The sequence below is a fragment of the Homo sapiens genome, chromosome 2, assembly GCF_000001405.40.
Source record: "Homo sapiens chromosome 2, GRCh38.p14 Primary Assembly".
NCBI classification, from domain to species: Eukaryota; Metazoa; Chordata; class Mammalia; order Primates; family Hominidae; genus Homo; species Homo sapiens.
In genome coordinates, this window is record NC_000002.12 from 220,552,573 (window position 1) to 220,573,982 (window position 21,410).

The following is a 21,410-nucleotide window of genomic DNA, read 5'->3' on the forward strand; positions in this document are numbered from 1 at the left end:
GCGCCTAGGTTTATAGTCTGCATGCTGAAAGTGTTTTATATTCTTCCTTCTGGTTATGGCTGTTCAGAGTGATTGAGCTCAAACCCAGTCCTCATGAATTCACCAAATAACCCAGTTCACTGGTGAGGAGAGTGATGCCTGTCTTTTTGAGTGGGTCTGCAGGATGCCACATGCCTCCATGTAAAAATAAAAGCCAAAATAGCAAGTACCTTGTGAAGATTTGATTTGACTGCTGCTGAGGATTGAGGAGGTTGATGGGATTTTCCACCCTTCTGCTGGATCTTTCCTTGGTTTGTCCCTACGACTGTGCAGACCAGAACTGTAGTTCTGAACCCTGGATACTTTGCTCCTTACCCAGAATTCACTGAAGGGACACATGATGAATGATCGGATCTGCTTGCCTATCATAAATCTCAGCCAGTAGGGGAGGGAGAGACCGGGCTGACACATCACCTCTGAGGACTGGGTTACAGACTCCTCACTGATTTATCTGTCCATTTCTCCTCATTATGAAAGAAGGAAATGGTTTAACTCAAACATTTTACAGAGACATTTGGTCAGGGGGAGCCTCTTCCAGGGGGAAGAGACTCCTGTCTTCATCTTGTTTATCGCTCTCCAAAAGCCATTGTTCTTCAATCTAGACACAACCACTAGGCCTCCATCAACAGATTTTTTTTTCTTGGAAATAATAAATGTTAAATATCCTTGGAATTTGCTAAGGCCTGTTTGCTTTAGGAAGGAATTTGTTATGATTAGCTTGGGTACTTGGAGCCCAAGAGTTCCTGATAGCAAGTGCTGGCTAAAATGAGCAATGATGAAGAGTCAGAGAGATATGGGCTCAAGTCTGACCAGCCACTTCCCAGCTGTGGGGCTCCATGCATGTTATTTAACTTCTGAGTCTCAGTTCTTCGTCTGCTAAATGACGATAATCATAATGCCTATCTCCTGGAGTCAAACGAATTAGTGCTTGTCACATAGTAAGTGCTCAATAAATAATTGTTGTCATCCATCAGCATCAATCCCGTCATCCCCACAGCATGAGCACCAGGATACGAGCAACTAGTTGGAAGGGGACAGTGTATAATTTTTAGCTTTGTTGTCTCCATTATGTTCTAATTCTTTCCTACTGAGGAAACTGAAAATCTCGTCTCCTTGTCTTGGGATTGTGCAGACTTAGTCTTGCCTTAAATGCTTCAATCATCTGCATGTACATATAGAATAAATTCCAGTCTCCTAGGCACATATACACATGTACATCTTCCCTTAGATCTGGCTTCTGGTTATCTCTCCAGCCTCACTGCACTCCCTATCTTAAAATATATTTTATAAAAAAGACAAAATTGTCTGCAGTTTCCTGCTCAGTCCCACTTTCATGACTTCTATATGCTGTTTCTTCTGTCACAAACATAGTTTCCAATTTTCTTATAATACATTTTTATTTATCTTTCAGAAATATTTGATAGACACACTTTCTCCTAACCGCTCAGATTTATATCAGTGACCATCCTGTGTACTTTTTCAATAATTTATATATTTCCCTATAGATTATCAAATTGCTGCATTTTAATGAAGTTATGTGCATATAATTGTATCTTCCCCACTAGACTGGAAGCTGCTCAAGGGTAAGGATTGTCAAATCAGTGCCTGAAACAGGAAATTTTCTAAACATGATTTTTAAGGGTGTTTGAGCTTAGTGTTGAGATAAAAGGATTATGCATGTCACTTTCTTCATGTATAAGAATGTAGGAGAAGCAAATGTCTCATATAGTTACAGACGGTTATATACAGAAATATTTATTGATATGTCTATATATGCACAGATTAATATGCACACATATACTTCTTTTATTATTATTTTTTTTTGAGACGGAGTCTTGCTCTGTCTCCCAGGCTGGAGTGCAATAGCGCAATCTCGGCTCACTGCAACCTCCGCCTCCTGAGTTCAAGCAATTCTCCTGCCTCAGACTCCTGAGTAGCTTAGATTACAGGCACCTGCCACCATACCCAGCTAATTTTTTGTATTTTTTAGTAGAGACAGGGTTTCGCCATGTTGGCCAGGGTGGTCTCGAATTCCTAACCTCAGGTGATCCACCCGCCTCAGCCTCCCAAAGTGCTGGGATTACAGGCGTGAGCCACCACGCCTGGCCACACATATATATTTCTTTGGTCTGTTAGCTAAGAGGGCATAAAGAAAGGATAGCCCACCATCAGTGAACACATCTAATACCCAGATGTTGGTTTCAAATACTATTCTCTAATAAAGAACACCAGGGTTCCTGGGAGAAATGGATGATTCTAGGATATGGCAGAAACACGCAAGATAAGGCTGGAGCATCTTTTATTGCCATAAAATAAGGAAGTCCTAAAACACAAGCACACACACATACATACACATTGGGAATATGTCAAAAGGGAAGAAGAATTTTTTAGAAGAGCTCCCAATGACCAGAAGCTGAAATAATTAGATCAAAACAATTTATTGAATTATAACTCAAAGTATAAAATAAATATCCATGAATCTGTACTAAAGAGTATCAATAAATACTAGTAATAAATAGATAATTTAATAAATTAATAAGTCAGGGAGGAGAGACAAATCCCCTTAGCACAAGAATTTATATAGCTATTCCAACCTAAAGGATTAGAGTGGCATAATTCTCTACTCTTTAGTTATGGGCTATGTATTGAGACCTCCTTCCAAATAGTAGAGTATGGAAAGGGAGGGAGAAAATAACTCTAGAGTTATATACAGAAACCTGATGACTACAGCTTCAGCCCAGTGATTGTGGTTAACATTAACAGCAATAAGCCATGTTGATAGCATGCACCCTTGCCATGATATGATGAAAACAAAGCTTTTCCTCTATGCTCTTGCCCTCAAAACTCATAACCCAGTCTAATCATGAGAAAAAAATCAGACAAATTCTATATTAGGGACATCCTATAATATTCCTGGCTAGTACAAACCAGTCAAGGTCATCAAAAACAAGGACAAGTCTGAGAAAATGTCATAGCCAACAGGAGCCTAAGTAGATACGATGACTAAATGCAATATGCTACCTGGATGAGATCCTGGAATAGAAAAAGACATTAGGTAAAAACGAAGGAAATCTGAATAAAGCATGGACTTTAGTTGATAATAATGTATCAATAGAGGTACATTAATTGCAATAAATGTACTATACTAAGGTATGATGTTAATAATAGGTGCAACTGTGTGTGGGGTGGGGATGGAAACATGGGAACTCTGGGAACCATCTCCTCAATTTTTCTGTAAATTTAAAACTGCTCTAAAAACAAAGTCTAGTAAAAATTACTAAATAGCCAGGCATGGTGGCTCACACCTATAATCCCAACACCTTGGGAGGCTGAGGAAGGAGGACTGCATGAGGCCAGGAGTTCGAGACCAGCCTGGGCAACATAGCGAGACCCCCATCCCTACAAGAAATCATAATAATAATAATAATAATAATAATAATAATAATAATAATAATTAGCTGGGCATGGTGTTGCATGCATGTAGTCCCAGCTACTCAGAGTCTGAGGTGGGAGGATCACTTGAGCCTGAGAGGTTGAGGTTGTAGTAAGCTATGAGTCACTGTACTCCATCCTGGGTGACAGAGTGAGACTCTGTCTCAAACAAAAAGACTAACTAAAAAATGAAAAAAAAAAAAAAAAATGAAAGGAACAAAATCAGGATTTGCTGAGTAACACTGAAGAAATATACCACTTCTTTCTTAACACAGATTCACCTTTCCCTAACATATCTAAATAGTTCATGCAAACAAATTTATGCCACAGATTAAGTCAATAATTATCTCTACTTCCTGCTTTATTATGTGTGTGTAGTTAGGACTGGAATGAGGATACTTCACATGGAATCTTCCCTACCATAAGAACAACATGTTCTACCAACACTCAGATTGTTTTTCAGTCAGTCGTGCCACTATCTAAAGATGCATCCACTCTCATTCTTGCTTAGTGTAGATCTGTGTCCTGGTCATGAGAAAGGACTATTCCAATTTTCTTTAAGGGCTGACTTAGCAATGATCAAATACACTTGGTTAGAAAAATTAAAAGAATTATAATGGCCCTTTTAGTATTTTGGGAAACAGTAAGGTGGGTGAGAGAAGACTAGGCACCAACCTCTTTAGGAGTTTAGGTGGAGAGAGGTGTTTGGTTGTCTCACATCAACAAGGAATGAACCTAGATGCTGGCACTCAGAAACCATCACATTCCAGATGAGCTCTGTTCTGCTTTGTGGTTGTGGCCACAGCCAGTGACTTATTTCCTGGGCAATAAGTGTTTTGGTTCAAGCAGAAACTGCTGAAGTTAGCACTCTTAAAGTGTTAACTTCAGACTTGATAAAGAAGAGCTTAAAAGTTAGCTTGCAACTCTTAATGACCCTGCATTTAGATTTGTGCTTAATTTTGTCTGCGTGGTTCTATGTCCTTGCTGAGAGCCTCAGCTAAGTCCTTTTGACAAACAGTGGTGTGGGAGAAAAGCAGAGGATGTCTGCCTGACAGGGTGGCCCAGGTCAGCAAATTAATGTTCCTCCTTGGGGCCAGAGCTGACCAGGAGAAAGATGGCTCTGACCTTGTGAGTTTCACACTGGAGGCCTGCAGAGGTGGTCCATCATGGAGGGAAAAAGACAGAGAGGAAAAAAAATAGCAATTTTGATGAAGTTATTGGATACATCCACTTCCCTTTTAAATTCTAAGACCCATTCCTACTCATGTAGATAAAACATCCAAGTGATGGAATGAATGCCTTTCATTTTCAGACATTTGTAGGGTTGTCAGACCAACATAGCCTGAGGTACGAGAACCTTTGGTTAAGATTTCATTCATAATTCCTTATACCTATGCTGAGCCTTCAACTTTCCAAGCTGTTCTGCAAACCTACAGTCACCCTCTGACTCCACCCCAATTCTCCAGACAGTATCTTCTCCCATTTTCCCTCAAGGGGGAAAAAAATCAATAGATTAAATGGTTTTACACTGCTTTGCAAAATTGACACTATGATTTTGTAAGTTGGCGGGAATAGGTGGTAGTGGGAGGAGGGCAGTAAGGGGTAGGAGTTTAAGAGCACAGGGTCCTATGCAAAAGGAAAACGGGGCTTTTTGGCAAAAACTCACTAAACATTTCAAGACGGTGACAACGGAGCATTAAAGCAAGCATACTCCGTGGGCATGCCCGCTCATATGCCCATAAAGCTAGCCCTGGTCTGGAGTATCACAAAAATGGGCTCAAAACCTGACTCTGCTTTTTACAGATTGGTCACTTTGGGCAAGTTTCTCAGACGCTTGAAAAAGGAGAGTAAGAGTATCTACCTCATTTTTAGAGCATTAAATAAGACCATGGATACAAAGAACAAAGTATATTGTATTATGCAGAAAGCACTCAAGAAACGAATAAGGGGCCAGGCGCGGTGGCTCATGCCTATAATCCCAGCACTTTGGGAGGCCGAGGCAGGCAGATCACCTGAGGTCAGGAGTTGAAGACCAGCCTGGCCAACATGGGAAAAACCCATCTCTACTAAAAAATACAAAAATTAGCCGAGCATGATGGCAGGTGCCCGTAATCCCAGCTACTGGGAAGGCTGAGGCAGAGAGAATTGCTTGAACCCAGGAGGCAAAGGTTGCAGTGAGCCAAGATCGCGCCACTGCACTCCAGTCTGGGCAACAGAGTGAGACTCCGTCTCAAAAAAAAATTAAATTAAACAAAGAAACTAATAAGGATAATAACAACATTAATAACAGTATAAGCAGGAGTCAGGGGTTGGGTATGCAGCAACGAATGACTGCCCCCTTGAGCTGTCCCCGGAAGGCAGATGCGGTGTGGCCAGGGGAAACTACTGCCCCTCCGCAGCTGGCTGCTGGCTGCTCATTCCCACCTGCAGGCCTCAGAAAAGGCCACCTGGAACTGGCATTCGACACTCCTCATAGCATAGAAAAGACCAGAAAGTAAGCTTGGGAAACTGCTCCACTGGTTCCCTCCTTGACAAGGGCATATGTTTCCGTTTACTTTACGTGCTCTTGTTCTCCCAGAACCCCAGTCCCTCACCATGGTCTGAAATTTCCTGAGAGCCTAGTGCTTGACCTCCACACCTGGGTCTGTTGAGTTGGCTTCCTGCTGTCGCTGCTGCCCTTCGGCCTGCCGTCCACCCGCTTGTTGCCTGTTCACCCCCTTGTTGACCTCCTATGGGCCAGAACTCATAGCGTGTGTGCCCTGTGGCCATTTTGTCTCTACACTCTCTCTGACCTGACACTGTGACGTCTGTATTTGCCCTCAGGCTGCCTGCTGACTCTTTTTGCAGCCCTTTGCCTCCATTCATTGCATACCCCCCAGTTTTGGCTCTTTGCCCAGAACAGTGACCCTAAGGGGCCAGGCCTTGTCTGCCACTGCCCCCAAATACACTGGCAAAATGCAGTTCATTTACCCACCCAGCCTAGCCTAGCCCTGCTCTCCCCATGGTCATAAGGACATGGAACAGCATCTAGTGGAAATTTCTCCACCTGCCTTGATCTGGGTGCACTTCAAGAACGCGATTCATTGAGTTAAACCACCAACAGTATCAGTCACTCAGCTTTAATCAGCAACATTGAAGAAAGCTGTTCTCTCCCCTCAGTGTCCTCCTCCCTTTCCCCTGATTCTGGAAAGGCAGAATGGTTGGACATTCTTTCCTTAGGGGTCAGCAAGAGTTCTCCATGAACATGTTTCTTTGTTGTTTATGGTTTTATTATATTCATTTAAAAAAAAATTCAAGTAGGCTTAGTGCAGAATTAACCCCTTGGGATTATTGGTTAGTTGACAATCCCTAATACCAAGCCATTAATTTTTCATTTTGTAGGTATTGTGGCAGTGAGCCAAGTTGCAGTTGGAAGATTAATAATCCATCTACCCAGGCTTTGGGTTTGCTTAACGTTAAGCTAGAGCAGTGTGAACCTCCCTAACACTGGTAGGTGCTTATGGTCTAGCTGAGGAGACCCAATGTACTTTAAAACATGCAAATGCAGACACTCGAAAATTATTTCAGGCAATGGTTTTTCTAACAGATAAGTGGTTTTCAAAGCAAGGTCTGGGTATTTGATAGTTTGCAGGTGGCTTCAAGCAGTCTACAACTTGGGAGTCTCTCAAGAAGTGATTATGTTAACATTATATTATTTAGCCACATTATGTGTGATCACTTTCTTCTTCCTGAAATCCTTTCTTCACACATGGAGACTTCTCTTTCTTGATTCTCCTTCTACCTCATAGGCAACTTTTCTGTCTCCTTGCAGTTCCTCCTCATATCCCAGACTTCCAAATATTGGAACTTCCCTTACCTTTGTGCTAGGGGAAAAGCTTCCATGTGCCCTCCCCCCCACAGGTTCTCTCTTCACTCACCCCTTCCCTGCCAAGCTTTGTGCCCTGGGAGGCTGAGCTCTATGAATGACATCATGGACTTTAGTGCTTGTTTGGGTTGTGTCCTCCCAAAATTCATTGTTGCAGTCCTAACCCCAGTACATCAGTATGTGGCTTCAGTAGGTTTTTGCAGATGTAATTAGTTAAGATGAGGCATACCAGAGTAGGGTGACCTCCTGTCCAATATGACTAGTGTTCTCATAAGATGGGGAATTTGCACAGAGACAGGCAGACTGGGAGAACAAACACCGTGTGATCACGAAGGTAGAGAAAAAGATGATACATTGTTGTGCCAAACTTCTATTGATCCCAGTGGGGATAGCACCAGGTTCAAGAGCCAAAGAAGAGACCCAGAGCCAGCAAATGAGATGTAGGGTTTACATACAGGGGTCAGAGTCCAGCGGCGGCAGGCTGGGCAGGAGAACCGCCTTACATACAGTCCAGTGGTTGGACAGGATAGCCCAGTGGCAGCGGGCTAAGCAGAAGAACCACAGCCACCTTCAAAAGACACGCAGTTTCTACAGCATTTTCACTTAGCACCCTTTTTCTAACAACCTCCACCTGGTAACCTTCATTCAACCCAAACTCAGGGCCTTGAGTATGGCTGGTGGGCTCAGATGTTCCTTACAGACAGGGGACAGATCTCCGGGTTGGCAACTCCCAGATTCCTTGGAATCACATTCAGGTGCATCTGCCATACAGGATCATTCTCTGGGTATGCTTAAGCTATTGCTATCAGGTGCATCTACCATACACATAACTGCAAGTCAAGGAATGCCAGCATTCCCAGCAAGCCACCAGAAGCTATGGAGAGGAATGGAACAGGTTTTAACAGCAGCACAGTATGCCTTGTAATTGCCTTGTACCTTCCTACACCTTTGAAATCCTTTAAAATAGATATTCCTCTTGCTGTGCAGAAGCTCTTTCGTTTAATTAGATCTCATTTGTCAATTTTTGCTTTTGTTACAATTGCTTTTGGTGATTCCATCATAAAAATCTTTGCCTATGCCTATGTCCTGAATGTTATTGCCTAGATTTTCTTCTAGGGTTTTTCTAGTTTTGGGTTTTACATTTAAGTACAGACAACCCACAGAATGGGAGAAGATTTTTACGACCTATCCATCTGACAAAGTTCTAACATCAAAAATCTACAAGGAACTTAAGCAAATTTACAAAAAATAAAAAAAACATTAAAAAGTGGGCAAACGACATGAACAGACACTTCTCAAAAGAAGACATACTATGTCTAAAGAAGGCCTATTATGCAGCCATAAAAAAGGATGAGTTCATGTCCTTTGCAGGGACATGGATGAAGTTGGAAACCATCATTCTAAGCAAACTATCACAAGGACAGAAAACCACACCATGTGTTCTCACTCATAAGTGGGAGTTGAACAATGAGAACACATGGACACAGGGTGGGGAAAAACACACACTGGGGCCAGTCGGTGGGTGGGGAGCTGGGGGAGGGATAGCATTAGGAGAAATACCTAATGTAAATGACGAGTTGATGGGTGCAGCAAACCAACATGACATATGTATACCTATGTAACAAATCTGCACGTTGTGCACATGCACCCTAGAACTTAAAGTGTAATATAAAAAGGCATACATGCAGCCAATAAATATATGAAAAAAAGCTCAACATCACTGATCATTAGAGAAATGCAAATCAAAACCACAGTGATATACCATCTCATGCCAGTCAGAATGTTGATTATTAAAAAGTCGAGAAACAACAGATGCTGGCAAGATTGTGGAGAAATAGGAACACTTTTACACTGTTGGTGGGAATATAAATTAGTTCAACCATTGTGGGAGACAGCCTGGTGTTTCCTCAAAGGTTTGGAACCAGAAATCCCATTTGACCCAGCAATCCCATTAGTAGGTATATACCCAAAGGAATAAAAATCATGTTATTATAAAGATACATGCACACATGTGTTCACTGCAGCACTATTCACAATAGCAAAGACATGGAATCCACCCAAATGCCTATCAATAATAGACTGGATTAAGACAATGTTTTACATATATACCATGGAATACTAGGCAGCCATAAAAAGACATTTTAGATCACATCCTTTCTAGGGACATGGATGAAGCTGGAAGTCATTAACCTCAGCAAACTAACCAGAAACAGAAAACCAAACACCGCATGTTCTCACTTAGAAGTAGGAGGTGAACAATGAGAACACATGGACACAGAGAGGGGAACAACACACAGTAGGGCCAGTCAGGAAGGAGTGTGGGGGAGAGAGCATCAGGAAAAATTACTAATGCACATGGGGCTTAATACCTAGGTGATGGGTTGATGGGTGCAGCAAACCACCAAGGTTTACCTATGTAACAAACCTACGCATCCTGCATAGGTACCCCAGAACTTAAAATAAAATATAAATAAATAAATACTGTTTCTCAACTTATCCTAAATTTGAGCATGCCATTCATCTCTCAGGCCACTAACTTTTACAGATCTTCCCTCTTTTCTATACATACTCACTCCCTTCCTCATCTCATATAGGCACATGACTGTCTCCAATACTGTCTCTATGCTAGATGTCGCCAATGAATTCCAGACTCTTCTAATTGCCCACTCATCATTTCTCCTTAGTTGTTTAATAGGCATTGTAAACCTTTACATACCCAAAGTTAAGTTGTCGATATTGTCCCCACACTTGTTCCTCTTACAGTCTTCTGTCTCACTAAATGTCACCCCATTCTTCTAGTACCTTGGGCCAAAAACTTTGGAGTGGCTTAGGTTTTTGTTACTTCATGATTATGTATCTGACATCACACATCCAATCCATCTTGTTCAGCCTACATAAAAACATCAATACATCCAGAATGGAGAAGTTGGTGCCCTCGTGCACTGTTAGTGGGAATACAAAATGGTGTAGCTACTGTGGAAAACACTCTGTCAGTTTCTCAAATGATTAAACATAGAACTACCATATGACTCAGCAATTCCTCTCCTTGGTATTGTATCCAAAAGAATTAAAATCAGGGACTGGAACAAATATGTGTATATAATTTCCATTGCATCTTTATTCACAATATCCAAAAGATGGAAACAACTCAAATTTTCGTCAATGGATAAGTGGGTTATCATATACAATGGGTATCAATATACAATGGAATATTATTCAGCAATAAAACAGAATGAAACTTTCAGACATGCTACAACATGGATAGACCTTGTAAACATTACAGTTACTGAAATAAGTCAGACACAGAAGGACAACCATGATTCCACTTATATGAGGTACCCAGAATAGTCAAATTCAGAGAGGCAGAAAGTAGACGGTAGTTGCCAGGGGCTTGGGGTGCAGGAGAGGGGGAGTTATTATTTCATGGATATAGAGGTTTTTCTGAGGGTAATAAAAAAGTTTTGGGGCTGGGCGCGGTGGTTCATGCCTGTAATCCCAGCACTTTGGGAGGCCGAGGCGGGTGGATCACTTGAGGTCAGGAGTTTGAGACCAGCCTGATCAACATGGCGAAACCCCGTCTCTGCTAAAAATACAAAATTTAGCTGGGTGTGGTGGCAGGTGCCTGTAATCCCAGCTACTTGGGCGGCTGAGGCAGGAGAATCGCTTGAACCCGGGAGGCAGAAGTTGCAGTGAGCTGAGATCTTGCCACTGCACCCCAGCCTGGGCGACAGAGTGAGACTCTGTCTCAAAAAAAAAAAAAAGCTTTGCACATAGGTAATGGGGATAGCTACACAGCATTGGGGAGGTATTTAAAGCCACTTGATCATATACTTATGAATGGTTAAAGTGATAAATATTATGGTATGTATATTTTAACGTGATAAATATTATGTTATGTATATTTTAACATGATAAATTATATACACATATGTCTGTCTATATAATATAAATCCACATATATATATATGTTCAGGATTTTCTCCCTTCTCACCACTTCCGCTAACACCACCTGGGTATGGGCCCATCCTGCCTCACTGCAATGATTGCAGTAGCTTCCTCCCTGGTCTCTCCTCCTCCAAGTTGCTTCATCGTAGTTTATGCTCCACAAGAGTGAGCCAGAATGATCCTATTAACATCACAATATTCAGATCATGTCATTCCTCCATTTGACACCCTGAGGCATTTCCCATGTCTTCTAGAGTAAAAGTCCAAGTCTTTAAAGTGGCCTGTAAGGCTCTCCATCATCAGGCCTCAGGCACCCTAAGTCTAGTCTCCTACCTTCTCGTCTCCGTCTCCACTTTCACCCCATGTGTAGTCTCCTTATAACTCTTTCTTCTCTTGCTCTGCCTCAGTCACCCCAGGCCTAGCCTCCTTCCTTCCATCGCTCCTCTCCCTCTACCCAGCCACACTGGCCTCCTAGCTGCTCCCTGAACACAGCTCATCACTTCAAACACATCGTGCTCAGTGCTCCTCCTGCATGGAAGACCCTCTCCTTCACTTCTATCAGGCCCTGCCCAGTCCCATCTCATCACTGAGGCCTTTCCCTGCACCCGCTAGGGAATATTAAGCAACCCCCACCCTGACACTGCCTAGGCTGCTTTATTTGCCTCTGTAGAAATTACAACTATCCAGTGCATGCAATGTATAGTATTGCTTACTTGGTTATTGACTGTATTTCTCTCCCCACCAGGATCCTTGAAGGCAGAGACTGTGTTCACTGGTGCCTCCTCTGCACCTAGAATGATGTCTGGCACCCAGTATACACATGATACATATTCACTGAATAAACGAATGAAGGAAATATCTATGCATCTGTTCCTGACCTAGATGAATAATTAATGCAATTAATAAAACTTCAGACATTTCCTCATTGGGGTCTGTCTCTGAAATTTAGCCTTTTTTTAAATAATTTCAATTTCAATTTTTTTCTTTTTCTGAGACAAGGTCTTGCTCTGTTTCCCATGCTGGAGTGCAGTGGCATGATCTTGGCTCACTGCAACCTCCACTTCCTGGGCTCAAGCTATTCTCATGCCTCAGCCTCTTGAGTAGCTGGGTTTACAGGCACCCGCCACCACACCCAGCTGATTTTTGTATTTTTAGTAGAGACGGGGTTTCACCTTGTTATCCAGGCTGGTCTTGAACTCCTGAGCCCAGGTAATCCACCTGCCTTGGCCTCCTGAAGTTCTTTTAGATTCAAGGGTACATGTGCAGGTTTGTTACATGGATATATTTCATGATTATGGGGCTGGTATATGAATAATGCCCTGTCACCCATAGCTCATCATTTAAAAAAAATTACTTTCCACTTGAATCAGGAGCACATAGATGAAGTGAGCCACAGACCCTTGAGGCCAGTTATATCTCCTTCTGCCTGACCTGCCATGCTTAGGTCGTCTCCAGGCTTATGGCTTGCCTTTCTCCATGTACTATTTTAGGCTTTGGCAACACTAGACTCTACTGAAGTTCTTACAATGCACTGTGACCTCCCTCATCCCTAGCCCTTTACTCAGTGTATCAGTCAGTGTTCTCTAGAGGAAGAGAACCAACAGGATAGATAGATGGTAGATTGATTGATAGACAGATAGATAGATAGATAGATAGATAGATAGATAGATAAATAGATAGATGATAGATGATAGAGATAGATAGGGAGATAGATTAGATAGATAGATAGATGATAGAGATAGATAGGGAGATAGATGACAGAGATAGAGATAGATAAACAGATAAATAGGAAGATAAAGAGATAGATATTATAGGTAATTATTGCTTATGCAATGATGGAGGCAGTGAAGTCTCAAGGTCTGCCATCTGAAAGCTGAAGACGTAGAAGAACCAATCGTGTAGTTTTAGTCTAAGCCCAAAGGGCTGATAACCAGGAGAACCAGTGCTGTAAGTGTTGGTCTGGAAGCCAAGAGGCTTGACAACCAAGAAGAGTTGATGTTTCAGTTTGAGTTCAAAGGCAGAAAAGACCAATGTTCCAGCACCTGCAGTCAGGCAGGAGTTCCAACTAACTTGTGGTTGGGTCAACCTTTTTGTTCTGCTCAGGCCTTTGACTGATTGGTTTCTGGCCATGCACATTAAGGAAGAAAATCTGTTTTACTCAGTCTAATGATACAAATGTTAGTCTCATTAAAACACCCTCACACACACCCAGAATATCGTTTGACCAAATATCTGAGCACCCATGGCCCAGGCAATTTGACATACAAAATTAACCATCACACTCCATTTTAGTCCTCCTTTCACCTGACTATATCTTACTCACAGGTCTCAGTTGGGAACGCCCCTTTTGGGAAGTGGGCTCCAAGCACCTCAGCTCATGATTAACTTTTTGTGCAGTGTACTCAGAGCAAATGCTTTCTTCCTATCATGGTTCTCCACCTCTGGATTGTAATTTTGGTTTGATTTAAGGAGCAGCTTTTTCTGCTTATGACTGCGTCCTAAAGCCTGGTACAATGCCTGCAGCAGAAGAGGTTCTCCAGATTATTTTTTCCAACTGTGCATATGAGCGATGGTCCATGGAGGGCCTGGAATCCCAAATTCCTTTCAGCAGGGAACATGAGCAAGAGATGCTAAGACAATGAAAGAAAAAGGAAGATAGTGAAAGTAAATGGTGTGATAGCATCTTACAAATTAAATGGAAGAGAGAGTCTGAATTCAGTGACAGTTCATGTAATTATTACACAATTTATTGTATTAGAAAAACTTCAAGGATCCCAGCCTCTGACCTGGCAGGCATTTGGGACCCTCATACTTCAATTCTATTCAAATGGTGGACATGGGCTAACAGCTTCAGCTTCACAGGGGCTCTGTCAGAAATGCATACTCAGACCTACTGAATAAAAATCTGCATCTTAATGTAGTCTCCAGGTGACGTGAGAAGGCGTAGAAGCTCTGAGCTATGGCTGCTAACCAGTTGCGTAAATATGGGGAACTTACTTAACTTCTAGACCAACATCTCCTCATCTGTAAAGTGGGGACAGTGATACCCAGGGTTGTTGTAACAACTAAATGAGATCTCTCCTGCTGGCTGCAGTGCCTGGAGTAGAGTAGAAGTTCAATGGGTTTTAATTTTTTGTTCATCATGAAAGCCATGGGTAAATGGAAGTGGACAGAATGATCACTGTGTCTGCTCTCTAGCTGCTGCGGTGGGACTGTGCTCACCTCAGTACTGATGCTCTTAACAAAAGCTTGCTTTTGTTTACCAATGTTCACTGAGTACTAATTATACTAAAGTTCTGTGCTAGATGCTGTTACAGACCCAGAAGATAAATAAAACCAACGCCCTGTCCTGAATGAATTCATAGAATAGTAGAGGAACATAAACGCATATGAAGTCAGAAACTGAGAAGTGCCAGCCAAGGTATTAAGAAAGTTAGAGAATGGAAACATTTCTTCTTAGCATATATTTTATGTTTCCCTAGTAGCTGTTGTCTCAATTTATTTCTCATTACTGAAATACATATTTAATAAGAGGTACCCAGGCTCACCCTACAAAATTAATGTTCACTTTTTACTGTGTTCTTGTTTTGAGCAAGACTTATTCTCTTTCATATTTTAAAAATTGGAATTAATATGCTCTTTCAGAATAGTTCAATTTAATTACTACTTTAAAATTCAAAGAGAAACATCATTAAATATTAATAGGCCAATCTGCAAAAACAAATTTTGCTGGAGGTTTTGCGTAGGTAAATGCAGATTTGAGAAAGTATGACAGCCCTTGAGAAATAATAGGACTAAGAACCAGTTTGCATTCTCCAGACCTCATTTCCTTACTCATAAAATTGAGTCTCAGAACTGTGATCCCCAGGTTCTGTAGGTCTATGCTGGTGGCATTTAGAAAAATAGCTATTAAAGCCATGTAGGTACTGTTGGTGAGAGAAGGGAACTGACATGGTGTGCAAAAGGGAGTGATGAGGACTGTGGAGAACTGCAGAGACCCGCTTTGGGTGAGAGGGTAGATGTCATGTCTCTTAGGTCCAGCCAGTGTTCCCTGTAGGATGTCCAGAACTGCCTTTTTAGAAGTTGGAAATCTGTATTTTAATGTAAAATATCCTGCTTTTATTTTTATGTTTTAAAATATTAGTTCAATGTTAAGCATGATGCTTGCCAAACCAAGCATATCTATATTCTAAATTAAGTCTTCCGGCTTCAAGTTTGCAACTTCTCACCTATACCAAGGGCCTATGAGCAGTCAATCATCAATCACAATTACCCAACAGAGTTGACCTGCAACTCTGCGACTCCCAACCCAGACAAAACATTCGCCTCATCTGGAGAGCATTTTGCAACAAGCAGGGCCTGAATCCCACCTGCAGTGATTCTGATTCAATCAGTCTTGGGTTGGTCTCTGACTTCCGTAAGCTTTCAAAATTCCTCAGATGATTCCAATACGCAGCTGGGTTTGAGAAGCATTGGTCTGGAGGAATCGTGTCTGTTTCTACCTGGCTGCCACCGCCTCGCCTTGCTCCCATGGCTCTCAGGTCCCCAGGACTGCCTAAGAACTTCTTCCAGCAACACTTGCCTTTTTTGTTGTTCCAGAACATTTACTGGTGATGAGAGACTCTAAAGAAGTCACAGCTTGCTTCCTTTCTGAAGAACGTTGTGATTTTGGCTCACGTGCAGTGCACGACAACTCTTCTCCAACAGCATGACATAGTCCACTGTCTCAGGATCCCATTTTTCCACCAGCTGCAGAGCAGGAAGGGACAAATCAAAGTAGGTATCCTTTTGCTATTTTTCAATTTTATGCTGTCTAAACAATATTCATAACAAGCGCTGTGGTAAATCTCTCATTTACTGTCACAGTTGTTCTACTGTTTTGGTGTACTTTTATATTTTTACTCCCTCTAAGTATTGAAAACAAATTAAATCCAGCAAAATAGAAGATCCAGGGAATACAACAAATAATTATTCCTGCCAAGCACGAGTATTTAGCACCTGCATGTTTGGGAAACGTTCAAACTGGTTTGCTTTGTATATGCTGTAAAAGTGCTCCCCGGAGCTAAGGAAATCTCTTTTGGATTTACTTGTTATTTATGTATTCATTTGATTTTTAAAATATAGGCAATAGGCAAATTAGGTTAGGTTGCAAGGTCTCTGGGTACAGCCACAAGATTTTGGAATATTGCATTTGGCCTGGATCTCATATCAGAGTCAGGTTTGGGTTATTAATCTGTGGACCTGGGGCTGGATGGATTATATTAAAGTAAGACTTTGTACACTTTCATATAACTCATTTTTGTCACGCGGCATTATATTTCTCAGTGGCTAAACCTTCACAAATGGCTCATAAATATTTTGTGAATGAAGGTTTGGGGATGATAGTGTGTCATAGCAAGAGTGAAATGATGCAAGAGATGGGAGAAAGGGAAAGTGAGCTGCAGAATTTTCACTGCTCCTGCATATCATAGAGAACTGATTTAGAGGCCTGGGTAGTTTCTCCTTAATTACTTCAGAGATGGTTTTGGAAAATGCAACTCTAAATGGAGCGCAGGATGATTTATGGTACTATTTTATGAGATGGAATTAAAAATTCAAACCAGAATGTGTAACTGTGGCAGCATGGGGCTACTCATTAAGAGGCAGTGAACACTGCCATTCATTTGCCTGCACCTGCTGGGGGTGGGGGTGGGGGAAACATGCTGATACCTGCCCACTTGACTGGGCTTGGCAAGAATAAGAGCTTCCTGGATCAGTGACTGGAGAAAAACTCTTTGGGGAGGCGGGAGAAACTCCCCAACGTCTGTAATGAGAACAGTTGGCAACTTACACAGTACAGGACAGTCAGGCATCCACACAGTGTGGAATCCAGACACACAGCTCTGCAATTTAAGAGCCTGTGGCTCAGCTTTCTTTATCTGTCAAACGGGATTGGTAACAACCACAGGCTACTCTGTAAAGATGACATAAAATCATATATGGAGAAGCCGCTGGTGAACTAGATTATGGAATATAAATGTGAATTATAGTGCGTTATTATAAAATCTCCAAGGAAACTGCCTCAGTATCTTTTATTATTAGCATGAAGCAGAACAATTGCTTCACAACTTGGTGGTCTATTAGGAGGTATGCTAGAGGCCACGAAGAACCCCACTTTGTGAAAAGTGTCTGGATTTTGCCCACTAGCATCCATTTAACCTTGATGGAGCTCTGGTTGTGTGCACAGGATATTTTGTTGGATCAGTACTCATGGTCTACTCACATGTGCAAAGAAGAAGCAGTTTCTCCATCTTGTCTACAAGTGATAGGCTTTTTCTTAAGATCACCCTCTTGCTAAGTTGTGGGGATAGATCAACTTGGTAACTTGAATCTTGGAGAGGTGAAATTATCTTTTCATGTTTCTCAACCTCTAGGAAAAAATGCTAAGACTTCTCCATTTCCCTTATTTCCTCCCCAACAGCCATCTAAAATGGTTCATGTGACCTTGAGCCAACAGAGTGATGGAATCCTAAGGTCCAGGCAGAATCTTTTGCTGCCTCTGCTCTCTGAGTGGTATTCTTCCGTCCACCTGGTCCCTGTCAGCATCTGTAGCCAGTATAACTTGTGGTGGGTTCACTCTTGCTCCATTTGGTTCAGTAGCTTTTTTCTGCAACCTGGCCTCACCTGGATTCTCTCTTGTCCTCTGAATTTCAACCACATTCCCTTTCCACACCCGGTGTGGTCTTGATATAAGGTTCCTTCTCTCATCATTAGAGGCCTATTGTTTCTGAACTCCACTGCCTTGAAGTTATCCCTCACAGGCTGGCAAAAGATCCCAGGTCCCACCCACACTACACCAGAAACAAGAGTGGCTCCAGAAAGTTAGACCCTGGCCATTCCTCTGATGATAATATTGGGGTTGCTAATTGCCTTTGATGTCACCCTCTCCCCTCACCTACTCCTCACCAACATGACGTAGTGGTAATCTCTACCAGAATCTGTTCTAGAGTTCTTTGCTTTTGACTTTTTTGTCTGTTAGCTAAATTATCTAAAATTCCTCCTGATCTCTGAGTCAAAGTCTGGACTCTTGCGCTCCTGCCTCACGGACTCAGTACCCAGGAACTGCCAAAGGCTGGCTGGACTTGCCATTGTTCTGTAGCACATCTTCCTTCTGTTTTGGCAAACAATCTTATGACCTGGTTGTCATGGATGGAAGGGATATCTTACAACACTATGGAAAACACTTTAAGATCTGAGTCCTCCAGGTTTGGTTCTGGTTATGCAAAATTGCTTTAACCTTTAGATAAATATTTTTCAAGAAAGCCTGGCTTCAGAGCCTTTTGTCTTACTGCAGAATCTTATTCTGAATGACAAACATAAAAGTAGATATTTATTTCATACATACCCCCTCTCCTACACACACAGAGACCATGTATCAGATACTATTCTAGACGCTAGGAATACAGTGGTAAAGAAAACAATAAATTCCTGCTTCCGAGGAACTGTCTTTCTAGTGTAGAGTGACAATCAGTAAACCAAATGAGTAAGTAAAGTAAACATACAAGGTGTTGATATGTGGTATGGAGGAAAATAAAGCAAGAGAGAATAAGTGATGCAGGTGAGTTTCTGGACATTAAGAGTGACATTTGAACTAGACTTGATAGATGACAAGAAAGAAAACCATGCTATGTGGATTATCTGAGAGAAGGCCATGCTAGCAAAGGTCATATAAAAATTAAAAATAGAGGCTGGGCGCGGTGGCTCACGCCTGTAATCCCAGCACTTTGGGAGGCCGAGGTGGGCGGATCACGAGGTCAGGAGATCGAGACCATCCTGGTTAACACAGTGAAACCCTGTCTCTACTAAAAATACAAAAAAATTAGCCAGGCATGGTGGCGGGTGCCTGTAGTCCCAGCTATTCAGGAGGCTGAGGCAGGAGAATGGCGTGAACCCAGGAGGCAGAGCTTTTGGTGAGATTATGCCACTGCACTCCAACCTGGGCAACACAGTGAGACTCCATCTCAAAAAAAAAAAAAAGGAAAAAAGATTAGAAAATCATGTTAATATTTTCAAAATATCCTGATACTTTGTCATCACTGATCCTAAAAGTGCTTGGTGCTTTGTTTTAGGCAGGTATATCCACACTAAATATGATTAACAAATTATATTTTCTAAAATGTCACAAAGATCAAGTCAAAAATCTCTGGGGAATCTTCTTATATGACAAAGTCATTTATTTATTCATATAGAATATAATAAGAGCTGTGGATAAACAGAAATGAATCTGATGGTGTAATATAATTCCTGCTTTCAAGGAGCTCTTGAAGAGTCAGAGAGGATGGACTTAATGATAAGAGTGTGTAATAAGATTGATGCCAGACATGAGCATGGGGTCTTTTGGAAATGTGGAGGCATTTAATATGCCCTGCGTGGGAGAGGGAAGTCAGAAGATAACTTCTCAGAGAAAGCAATACCTGATGTGGATCTTAAAGGGCGAGTAGAAGTTACCCAAACAATGCCGTGGAAGAGGTGATCAAAGCAGAAGGGGCAACATCAGTTAATGCATGCAGATGGGCCATGCAAGATGAGGTAAATGTGGCTCATAGCTTCTGGAAAGAAGACATGAGGTGGATGTTGATGAGAAATGAGGCTGGAGATGTGGACAGAACAAGGAAAGCCAAATTAAGTCCAAATTCCTTCACCGGCACATCTTCCTTACCAGGCACATTTCCAGCAGTGAGTCAACTACAGCCTTTGTTCTGTTTAAGCTGAGCTGGGTGTCAGGAGTGTCTTCCCTCTGCTGCTCATTCCTACAAAGAGTATTAGTTTCTTGAGTCCCGAGTACAGCTGCCATAGCCTGGGAGCCCTCCTTCATTGTGGCTGCCCAGGTGAGCTAACCAATATTTGCCTTAGGTTCCACTCTTGCTAGCTCCGTCACTGCCGCCTCTTGTTGTCATTTAAATGTTTCATGTATGTCTCTTTTCATTTTATGGATTATAAATTTGAGGGCACAAACTACCCTATGTTTCTCCTACATTGTCCAACATAATGTTCTGCATACTCAGGATGTACTTGTTAAAAAATGCATTTTATTACTTTAAACCTGCATTTTCCAATATGGTAACCACAAGACCCAGTTACTTAAACTTAAATTAAGAAGATCTGTGAACCTTCAGTTTCTTGATCTCATTAGTCACGTTTCAAGTACTTAGTACATGTACGGCTAGCGGCTACTGTATTGGGCAGCACAGAAAATATTTCCATCATCACAATTGGCCATCACTGCTTTAGAATACTTTTTAAAAGGAGTTTCCAGGTGAGAACTGCTTCAGGCCATTTTTGGAATCATACCTATAAATTGTCAAAAGAGTGCCAGTCAATTCTATTGCACGTGATATTAAAGTTATTGATGAAACATTATAATGTGACTCCAGGTAATTTACTTTTACAAGCTTGGCAATACACAAAATGTAGATATTTATTGAAGAAATAAAAATAGTAGCATTTTATTGATGTCTACTCTGTGCCAGGTATTATACTAATATGCTATATATTTTTATGCTATGCATCTTTTAATCTTTAGCCCTTTGAAGTATATATTGTTGAAAAAGAGGAAACTGAGGTCATTCTCATGAAATAAATTACTTAGGATATACAGTCAGGAAGAAGTAGAGCCAGTATCCTAACCCAGAACTGGCGACCCAAAAGCCTGTCCAGAGAATATTTTATTGATCTATCTATCTATCTATCTAATATTTATCTCTCTCATATATATATATATATATATAATTTGCCAATATCAGCCACCCAGATCTAAGAAATATTACCATTTTCCATATTTGCATCTTCCTATGAAATAAAGACAGCCAGGCGCGGTGGCTTACACCTGTAATCCCAGAACTTTGGGATGCCAAGGCAGGCGGATCACCTGAGGCTGGGAGTTCGAGACCAGCCTGACCAACGTGGAGAAACTCCATCTCTACTAAAAAAAATACAAAAAATTAGCCGGGCATGGTGGCACATGCCCGTAATCCCAGCTACTCAGGAGGCTGAGGCAGGAGAATCCCTTGAACCTGGGAGGCAGAGGTTGCGGTGAGCCAAATGGCACCATTGCACTCCAACCTGGGCAACAACAGGGAAACTTAGTCTC

At 41.7% G+C, this 21,410-nt stretch overlaps 1 long non-coding RNA gene across 1 annotated transcript in view; it reads left to right on the forward strand.

The window, feature by feature from the left end:
* The first annotated feature begins 15,873 nt into the window (after nucleotides 1-15,873).
* LOC105373895 (uncharacterized) overlaps nucleotides 15,874-21,410 on the forward strand; it is a 66,857-nt gene continuing 61,320 nt past the window's right edge. The window contains exon 1 of the long non-coding RNA XR_923937.3: nucleotides 15,874-16,057. This is a non-coding gene — a long non-coding RNA (uncharacterized LOC105373895). The remainder of the gene's footprint in view (nucleotides 16,058-21,410) is intronic.